Source organism: Homo sapiens, chromosome 2 (genome assembly GCF_000001405.40).
Source record: "Homo sapiens chromosome 2, GRCh38.p14 Primary Assembly".
NCBI classification, from domain to species: Eukaryota; Metazoa; Chordata; class Mammalia; order Primates; family Hominidae; genus Homo; species Homo sapiens.
In genome coordinates, this window is record NC_000002.12 from 149,504,414 (window position 1) to 149,514,904 (window position 10,491).

The 10,491-nt window shown below is 42.7% G+C and overlaps 1 annotated feature.

Annotated features, from left to right (window-relative positions):
* Positions 2,185 to 2,709: an enhancer, noted in NCBI's record as "NANOG-H3K27ac-H3K4me1 hESC enhancer chr2:150363112-150363636 (GRCh37/hg19 assembly coordinates)". NCBI's record gives its function as "activates a minimal SCP1, AML or CMV promoter by ChIP-STARR-seq in primed H9 embryonic stem cells {active_cell/tissue: H9 hESC(primed)}" and the evidence as "EXISTENCE:reporter gene assay evidence [ECO:0000049][PMID:30033119]".

The window sequence follows — 10,491 nt, forward strand, 5'->3', positions numbered from 1 at the left end:
AATGTGTCCCAGAGATTCTGGTATGTTGTGTCTTTGTTCTCGTTGGTTTCAAAGAACATCTTTATTTCTCCCTTCATTTTGTTATGTACCCAGTAGTCATTCAGGAGCAGGTTGTTCAGTTTCCATGTAGTCGAGCGGTTTTGAGTGAGTTTCTTAATCCCGAGTTCTAGTTTGATTGCACTGTGGTCTGAGAGACAGTTATAGTTTCTGTTCTTTTACATTTGCTGAGGAGTGCTTTACTTCCAACTATGTGGCCAATTTTGGAATAGGCGTGGTGTGGTGCTGAAAAAAATGTATATTCTGTTGATTTGGGGTGGAGAGTTCTGTAGATGTCTATTAGGTCTGCTTGGTGCAGAGCTGAGTTCAATTCCTGGGTATGCTTGTTAACTTTCTGTCTTGTTGATCTGTCTAATGTTGACAGTGGGGTGTTAAAGTCTCCCGTTATTATTGTGTGGGAGTCTAAGTCTCTTTGTAGGTCACTCAAGGCTTGCTTTATGAATCCGGGTGCTCCTGTATTGGGTGCATATATATTTAGGATAGTTAGCTCTTCTTGTTGAATTGATCCCTTTACCATTATGTAATGGCCTTCTTTGTCTCTTTTGATCTTTGTTGGTTTAAAGTCTGTTTTATCAGAGACTAGGATTGCAACCCCTGCCTTTTTTTGTTTTCCATTTGCTTGGTAGATCTTCCTCCATCCCTTTATTTTGAGCCTATGTGTGCCTCTGCACGTGAGATGGGTTTCCTGAATACAGCACACTGATTTGTCTTGACTCTTTATCCAATTTGCCAGTCTGTGTCTTTTAATTGGAGCATTTAGTCCATTTACATTTAAAGTTAATATTGTTATGTGTGAATTTGGTCCTGTCATTATGATGTTAGCTGATTATTTTGCTCGTTAGTTGATGCAGTTTCTTCCTAGCCTCGATGGTCTTTACATTTTGGCATGTTTTTGCAGTGGCTGGTACTGGTTGTTCTTTTCCATGTTTAGTGCTTCCTTCAGGAGCTCTTTTAGGGCAGGCCTGGTGGTGACAAAATCTCTCAGCATTTGCTTGTCTGTAAAGTATTTTATTTCTCCTTCACTTATGAAGCTTAGTTTGGCTGGATATGAAATTCTGGGTTGAAAATTCTTTTCTTTAAGAATGTTGAATATTGGCCCCCACTCTCTTCTGGCTTGTAGAGTTTCTGCCGAGAGATCCACTGTTAGTCTGATGGGCTTCCCTTTGTGGTTAACCCGACCTTTCTCTCTGGCTGCCCTTAACATTTTTTCCTTCATTTCAACTTTGGTGAATCTGACAATTATGTGTCTTGGAGTTGCTCTTCTCGAGGAGTACCTTTGTGGCGTTCTCTGTATTTCCTGAATCTGAATGTTGGCCTGCCTTGCTAGATTGGGGAAGTTCTCCTGGATAATATCCTGCAGAGTGTTTTCCAACTTGGTTCCATTCTCCCCGTCACTTTCAGGTACACCAATCAGATGTAGATTTGGTCTTTTCACATAGTCCCATATTTCTTGGAGGCTTTGTTCATTTCTTTTTATTCTTTTTTCTCTAAACTTCCCTTCTCGCTTCATTTCATTCATTTCATCTTCCATCACTGATACCCTTTCTTCCAGTTGATCGCATCGGCTCCTGAGGCTTCTGCATTCTTCATGTTGTTCTCGAGCCTTGGCTTTCAGCTCCATCAGCTCCTTTAAGGACTTCTCTCCATTGGTTATTCTAGGTATCCATTCATCTAATTTTTTTTCAAAGTTTTTAACTTCTTTGCCATTGGTTTGAATTTCCTCCTGTAGCTCGGAGTAGTTTGATCGTCTGAAGTCTTCTTCTCTCAGCTCGTGAAAGTCATTCTCCGTCCAGCTTTGTTCCGTTGCTGGTGAGGAGCTGCGTTCCTTTGGAGTAGGAGAGGTGCTCTGCTTTTCAGAGTTTCCAGTTTTTCTGCTCTGTTTTTTCCCCATCTTTGTGGTTTTGTCTACTTTTGGTCTTTGATGATGGTGACGTACAGATGGGTTTTTGGTGTGGATGTCCTTTCTGTTTGTTAGTTTTCCTTCTAACAGACAGGACCCTCAGCTGCAGGTCTGTTGGAGTTTGCTAGAGGTCCACTCCAGACCCTGTTTGCCTGGGTATCAGCAGCAGTGGCTGCAGAACAGTGGTGGCTGTAGAACAGCAGATGTTGGTGAACCGCAAATGCTGCTGCCTGATCGTTCCTCTGGAAGTTTTGTCTCAGAGGAGTACCCGGCCATGTGCAGTGTCAGTCTGCCCCTACTGGGGGGTGCCTCCCAGTTAGGCTGCTTGGGGGTCAGGGACCCACTTGAGGAGGCAGTCTGTCCGTTCTCAGATCTCCAGCTGTGTGCTGGTAGAACCACTACTCTCTTCAAAGCTGTCAGACAGGGACATTTAAGTCTGCAGAGGTTACTGCTGTCTTTTTGTTTGTCTGTGCCCTGCCCCCAGAGGTGGAGCCTACAGAGGCAGGCAGGCCTCCTTGAGCTGTGGTGGGCTCCACCCAGTTCAAGCTTCCTGGCTGCTTTGTTTACCTAATCAAGCCTGGGCAATGGCAGGCGCCCCTCCCCCAGCCTGGCTGCCACCTTGCAGTTTGATCTCAGACTGCATGCTAGCAATCAGCGAGACTCCGTGGGCGTAGGACCCTCTGAGCCAGGTGCAGGATATAACCTCTTGGTGTGCCGTTTTTTAAGCCCATTGGAAAAGTGCAGTATTTGGGTGGGAGTGACCCGATTTTCCAGGTGCCGTCTGTCACCCCTTTCTTTGTCTAGGAAAGGGAACTCCCTGACCCCTTGCACTTCCCGAGTGAGGCAATGCCTCGCCCTGCTTCCGCTCGCACACAGTGCGCTGCACCCAGTGTCCTGCTCCCACTGTCTGGCACTCCCTAGTGAGATGAACCCAGTACCTCAGATGGAAATGCAGAAATCACCCGTCTTCTGCGTCGCTCACGCTGGGAGCTGTAGACGGCAGCTGTTCCTATTCGGCCATCTTGGCTCTACCCCCCACAAATGTGTTTTTCAATCTACCCAGTCTTGTAGTTTATAAAAATTCCTCCTAGAATTGGGCAATAGCTTGACTGTCAGTACTAGCTCTGGCCGGTGTAAATACTTAATTTCATTCTGGATTTTCTTGGATGTTAATAAAAAATTGGGACACTAGGCATCAGTCTTCCCACTACAGTCTCCTATCAAATAGAACTACCTTTCTCCCTTTATTTTACAATATACAGCCCCAGTCAACAAATAAACACATTTGTCTTCTTCCCCAACCCCCTCATACCCAGAAACTGGAAGCCAAAGGTAATGAGGAATTAGGCAGAGTGTATAATTTTCATTAAAAGATTTGTTTACCCATTTCTTGAAAGCTACTTTCAGAAGTGTGAGGTTCCCACTAAAAGAAGTGAACTCTGATGCTGACTTTAATGATTCTAGGTTTGAACTGAACACACCTCCCATGGTGAGAATGTGGAGTGGCAGGTGGCACTTCTGGAAGATGGGCCATGTTCCTGCCTGTTTGTCCCTCCTCACCCCTGTTCCCAACTATGACTATAGCAGTTCTGGCCTGTAAATATGTATGACAAGCAGAGACGTAGCATCTTTCAGGGCTCTACAGTGAGGATTTCCACAGCTGGGGACCCAGCAGAGGGAGAGGCAGCTCATTCAAGGGGAACAACAAGTTATCTTGACATAATGGGCCTGGAATGTAGATGTGGGATCTGTCAAAGGAGCTTCTCTGTTCTCCATATTGACAGCTCATGCTTGCTCCATGACATGCTTGCTGCAGAAACATGACCTGGAACTGATGTGTTCTGACAGAAACAAGCTGGGGGATTTTGGGCATGCTCTGTCTGTCTTTCTGTCTCTCTCTCTGCCTTTTTCTCTCCTCACTGATGGTGCTGAACTGTTGAAGAGGAATGGGGTCATGTAGCTGTCAGAAGAGGGTCCCCAGTCCCACCGTCATTGCCTTCTTGAAAGCCATGCTTCTTGGCCTATTAAATCCACACGGAGGCTGTTCCTGGAACTCTTGGAAGAATGTGCTGTTATCTGAATGTGGGATTTTACTGTACATAGAATACAACTCTGTTGTGATATCTGCAAAACAGGGATTGAAAGAATGAAAAAAAAAAAAAAGAAAAAGAAACCCACTTGTAGAGACAGGTAAGTGTGGTAACCAAGATAACCAGAATGTAATATAGAAAAAGGACACTTTTAATTTTGATGTTGAAAGATAAATAATCTATTATGATGAGTCTTGTTCGGTATGATCAGCCTATATTGGTACAATTGAACTCTCTATATAGCCTTAAAATTTCTTTTCGGGAGTGAGTATTAATCAAATTTTACTTTGAAAAATTCTACGCAGATGATCAACATTATATTAATCAATTCATTCAACAAGTATTTAAAGAGTATTTACTATTTGTTAGGTACTGGGAATATAATGGTGTAGAAGAGGAGGATGTCTCCCATGGGGTTTGTCTTTATCAAAGGCTGAGACTGATCAAAACAAGTACACAAATAGGAGAATTACAACATCTGATAAAGTATATGAAAGAAATGAATGAGGGGCTAAACAAGAGAATATGAAGGAGGAGTAAGGGACTTAAGCTAATATTTATAGTGAGATTCCAAAGATAAGATTAGAATATTCACATGAGGAATTGGGAAAGAGCATCCCAGGAAGGGGTAGCAGTGGATTCAATGGCCCTATGATAGGAGAGGGCAGGATCTGTCCAAGGAACTGACAGAAAACCAGTGTGGCAGAAGTTAGGAGGGGTAAGGGGGAAAAGGAGCTGAAGAAATGGGCAAGGGCAATATGGAGGACATGGCAAGGAGTTTGGATTTTGTTCTACATGTGATGGGAAGCCAGTAAAGACATTTAAGTTGGAAAGTGACATAATCCATTATGCACACACAGGCACACACTTTATAAAACAAAAAACAATATCAGACTTCAAGTACAGCCTTTTCCTCAGAACCATTTGAGAGTAAGTTGCAATATGATGCCCTATATTAGTTATCTATTGTTGTCTAACAAATTACCCTAAAGCTTAGCAGCTTTAGGAATGAGATTATGTATTTAGAATGTATTTAATTCTAAAATAAAGGGAGAAAGGAAGTTCTGTTTGCCCGCAGACAGCAGAATGTAGTTTGAAGACTGATGCCTTGTGTCCCAACTTTTCATTAAAATCCAAGAAAATCCAGAAAGAAATGTAAATACTAAACAACATTTATTATCTCAGAGTTTCTGTGGGTCAAAATCCAGGTGTGGTTTGGCTGGGTCATCTGCCTCAGAGACTCTCAGAAGTCTTTGAACAAGGTGTTGGCTAGGGCTGCAATCTCACTCAAACACTCAACTGTAGGAAGATTCACTTCCAAGCTCTTTCAAGTGGTCATTGGCAGGATTTAGCCCCTTTTAGGCTTCTGAACTAAGGCCTTCAGTTGCTTTCTGAGGATTCAGTTCCTCACTGGCATGTGGCTGGAGGCCTCCCTCAGTTCCTTGCCATGTACTTCCCATTATGGGGAAGCTCACAGCATGGAAGCTGACTTCTCAGTGTGAGTGAGCAAGAAAAGGAGAAAGAGTATCCAAGATGGCAGCCACAATCTTTTTGTAACCAAAAAGGCTAATCTCATAAGTGATATGCCATCATTTTTGCTGTGTTCTATTATTTGGAAGTGAGTCACTGGGCATAGATGTAACTCAGTGGGTGGGGATTATATGAGTGCGTGAATATCAAGAGGAAAGGATCATGGAGACATTTTAAAGGCTGCCTACCATGTGACCCATCAACCCAACCACTTTATAACAAGGATATTCTCCTACTACTCAAAATACGATCCCACAAATCAGGAAATTAAATCAATACATTACTTTTTTTTTTTTTTAAGATAGTCTTGCTCTGTCACCTAGGCTCTCGGCTCACTAAAACCTCCGCCTCCTGGCTTCAAGCCATCCTCCTGCCTCCTGAGTAGCTGAGATTACAGGTGCACACCAACACACCCAGTTACTTTTTGTATTTTTAGTAAAGATGGGGTTTCACCATGTTGGCCAGGCTGGGCTTGAACTCCTGACCTCAAATGGTCCACCCACCTGGGTCTCCCAAAGTGCTGAGATTACAGTCAATACATTACTATTAACTAATCCTTGGACCCTATTCAAGTTTTGCCAATGTCACAATAATGTCCTTTATAGCAAAAGGATTCCATTCAAAATCATGCTTTGCTTTTAGGTAGCATATCTCTAGTTTTCCTCAATCTGCTATAGTGCCCTACCTTTCTTCGATGGCCATGATCTTGACACTTTGCAAGATTGGAGGCTACTTTGTAGACATCTCTCAATTGTGGTGTTTCTGATGTCACTTTATGATTAAATTCAGGTTATGTATAATTGGCAGGAATATCATCAGAATGATGCATTACATCCTATAAAGTGGTGCATGGTTTTGAGCAACCTATTTAAGCCAGTGGTTTTAACTTTGATCACCTGATTATGGTCAGGTAAGAGCCAGGCCTCTCCACTGAAAAGTTACCTTTAAAATTTGTTATTTTATTTAATGAATAATTATTTAGTATGATCACTATTTTTTTGGTGCTAAAATAGTTCCAGATGTGACCAGTGGCAACCCTTTCAAGGTGGCTTCTGTGTTCTTTTGATATGTTTCCATCATTTTATGAACACTTTCTCGATTTCTCACACAAAACATTTTCCACAGTCATCTAGTACTTCCCTTGCCCCAGGCTTGGGATGATCCATTTCAATTAGGAGCCCTGGTTCTTTTTAGTAGAAAATGGTATTTAGACACTAAGATTTGTGCTTATTGTTACTTGGGCTTCACTGCTCCCAGGCTTTCTCAGTGGACAGAGTTAGGGAGCTATATGTGTATGTATGTGTGTATGTTTACACATATTTACCTCTGTTGATTTTTATGTCCATTGGTGTATATTGGAGATCATGAATTCATACTGCTGCCTCCAATTCCAGTGCAACACCACAGGGTAAATCCTATTTTTATACCTTTCCATATTTGTAGCCCTTTTCTCCCACAGTGAGAAATATGGCTTTCATTACCCTTAATCTATTTAACTTATTTGATCAGCATCCCTGCATATAATCAATCTCCCATTTCTGCCGCCAACCCTCTGCGCCTCCCCGCGTTGACAATCTCACCCACTCAGGCTCTAACAGCCATGCCAGGCTATTGCCATCTCCTTGCCCTCCTATGTGGATATCCTTCTCACTCATCCAGGCTTAGGCAATACCCATCAAGCTCTCTCCCCACATGGATGCCCTCCTGAGCTTTCCCTGGGTTCTGACCCCCGTTTCTGGTCATTGTGGCCAATCCCCCACAATATGAATGCCTATGTTGTGTAACACCAATGAATGGCTTAGGGGCTGAATTGTTGAGGAAGGGTAAAGAAACACAGGAAAAAGAAAAAGGAGGAGAAGGAAGAAGAGCTATGGTATATTTTAAACCAACATCCCTTACATTTATATGGAGCGTGAATTGGAGAAGACAGGAACTGAAGCAGGGAAACTAGTTAAGGGGCTAATGTGCAAGGTCTGGTGAGAGGTGATTGTGGCATAATTGTGGTATGATGTAAGGGGCAGGCAGAGGAGAGAAAAATACATATTTGGAGAGTTGAAAGCACTTTTTCTTGGATTACATGCAGAAGGTAAGGGAAAGGTAGAAATTAAGGAAAATTCCTAGATTTATAGCTTGAACAACTGTTAGAAAATGATGCTCTTGGGCCAGGCACAGTAGCTCATGCCTGCAATCCCAGCATTTTGGGAGGCCAAGGTGGGTGAATCACCTGAGATCAGGAGTTCGAGACCAGCCTGGCCAACACGGTGAAACCTCATCTGTACTAAAAATACAAAAAAAATAGCCAGGTGTGGTGGCGGGCACCTGTAATCCCAGCTACTTGGTGGGCTGAGGCAGGAGAACTGCTTGAACCGGGGAGGCAGAGGTTGCAGTGAGCCAAGATCGCGCCATTGCACTCCACCCTGGGCAACAAGAGCAAAACTCTATCCCCTCCCCTACCTCCCTGCACCCGCTCCCCCCACCGCACCCCGCCAAAAAAAAAAAGAAAAAGAAAATGATGCTATTTAATAAGATAGGAAGAAATTGGGGTTGGGGTGCAGTGTGTTAAGAAAAATCAATAATTATTTTTCAAATCTGTCAAGCTGAAGATACATGCGTGAAACATTCAAAAGATGTTAAGTAGGCACATGGCTATATGGTAGCAAACTCAAACCAGAAGTCTGGGTTGGCAATATAAATTTGAGAGTCATGAACATAAAGAAAGGGCAGAGAGAGAGAGAACATTCAGGAATGACCCTCAGCAGCCCCCAGAATCAAATGCCAGACCCAGCAAGCAAGCTTGAGAAGGACAGGCTAGTGGCAGAGGAAAAAGCACAGAAAAACAAAAGTGATAACAGAGAACGAAGAAACGTGCTTCAAGAAGGCAGTCATAATTTCTTATTTCAAATATTATTAAGAAGACAAGCATGAGAATCCAAATCTTCATTGGCTTTAGCAATAAGCAAGTTGCTATGGACAAAACTGTGTTCTCCTCCACACCACCCCAACCCTACAAAATTCATCTATTGAAGCCCCTGCTTCCAATGTGATTGTATTTGGAGACAGAGCTTTTAGAAGCTAATTAAGGTTGAATGAGGTCATAATGGTGTAATCCTAATACATAGAATTGGTGGCTTTATAAAAAGAGGAAGATCTCTCTCTGTCTCTCTCCCCGCTACCCCTCAACCACACATATGTACAAATAAACCAAGAAAAGGTCATGTGAAGACACAGTGTGAAGGTGGCCATCTGCAAGCCGGAAGGAGCACCCTCACAAGAAACCAAATCCTGCTGGCACCTTGATCTTGGATTTTCCAGCCTCTAGAACTGTGAAAAATTAAATTTTTGTTGTTTAACCGACTCAATCTATGATATTTTGTTATGGTAGCTGGAGCTGACTAATACAAAAGTCATTGGTGATCTTGACAATATTAAATTCAGTGGGATGGTTCAGGAAGAAATCAGAATATAGTGGATTAAATAGAGACATACAAGAAAATGGAAATGTGGTATGAAACAACTGTTTTGTGAGGTTTGCTCTGAATGACAGAAGAAATGGTGCTGTCCTGGAGGAGCATTTAGAATCAAGAATGAGTCAAATGGGTGATTTTGGAATCTGTTCATATGTGGAGGGTGATGATCTCAGAGGAGGAGACTGATAAGGCAGACTGAGGAGATAACCTAAAAGGGAAATCCTGGAGGGTACTTGTGGTTGTTGACAAAGTGGAGGATTAACCTTTTATATGAATAGTCTCCGTGGTGATGGAAAAAGATAAAGACACTATGGATTAACAAATACATTTGTCATGTAGGAGAATGGACATCTAAAAACCATAACCTGACTTTTTTTTTCTTTGTTTTCTGGGTTTCTCTCTCTTGCTGACCTTCTACTATAAGGTTAAATTACACATATTATTGCCCCAAGGAAGAAGTGGAGGGTACTGTCTTGAGTAAAGCACAAATAATAGAAGAGGAGGAGAAAACGATATGAGGGGACTTCCTGCCAGGCAGGCAAGGGGAGGACAAAGGGAGGAGAGGCCAGAGAGAAGTATAAAAGAAAGAAGCAGCCACACGAATGCTCTTGAGGTCTAACTTGAGAGTATGTTATATTGGAAAGTTCTAGATAGATTTGTAGAAAACAAAATTTATATGGCCAGTACTTACTTTCCTGAGACACAGCCTGGGGTGGTTGAAATCCTCTCAAATGAGCCCTACATTTGAGGAGGCATCATCTCCAAGAAGGCAAAGGAATGGGAGAGAAATCAAGGCTGAAAGAGATGCTTGAAAGATGCTTCAACAAACATTTCCATCAACACAAAGCCTCTCCCACAGGTTTGAGAAAGCAGCTGGTTCCAGCCCCCAGTGGTGGCGGAAGTGCTGAGAGGAGCCAAGGCTCAGAATAAGACTGAGGTTGAGATGGGAGTCTGTGATGTGGTGAGAGACCAGGGTATCATCTGTGGAGGCTGCTGGATGGCCAGAAGCCCACTAGAATGACTTATCCCCTAGTGGGATTGGGGGCTCAAAGGAGAGGAGGTGGACCAGAGGCCTCTCTCCCACTGCTGTGAACTCACAGAGGGTTCCCCTATGTCCAGATGCTACCTAAGGAGAAGAGAAAGACAACAGGAAATGGAAAACACTTTGAAAAATTGAGTATTTACTTCCACAGAGACTATTTAACCAACAGCTTCTTTTAAATGGAAAGAAACCAAGTTACTCTTAGTAAACTTGTTATCATTTTTTTGTGTGTGTGTGGAAATGAGAACTTCAGAGAAAGATGGGGTCAATTAGACATAAAGAAAAAAAGTCACCCTTTCCCTAAACATGGGCTGTGATATAAATTTTGACAGCAATACAGTAGGTTTATTGGTGAGACAATGAGTGAAATTGCATTGAATGGCTTCTGTGTTGCTCGTGAAATGT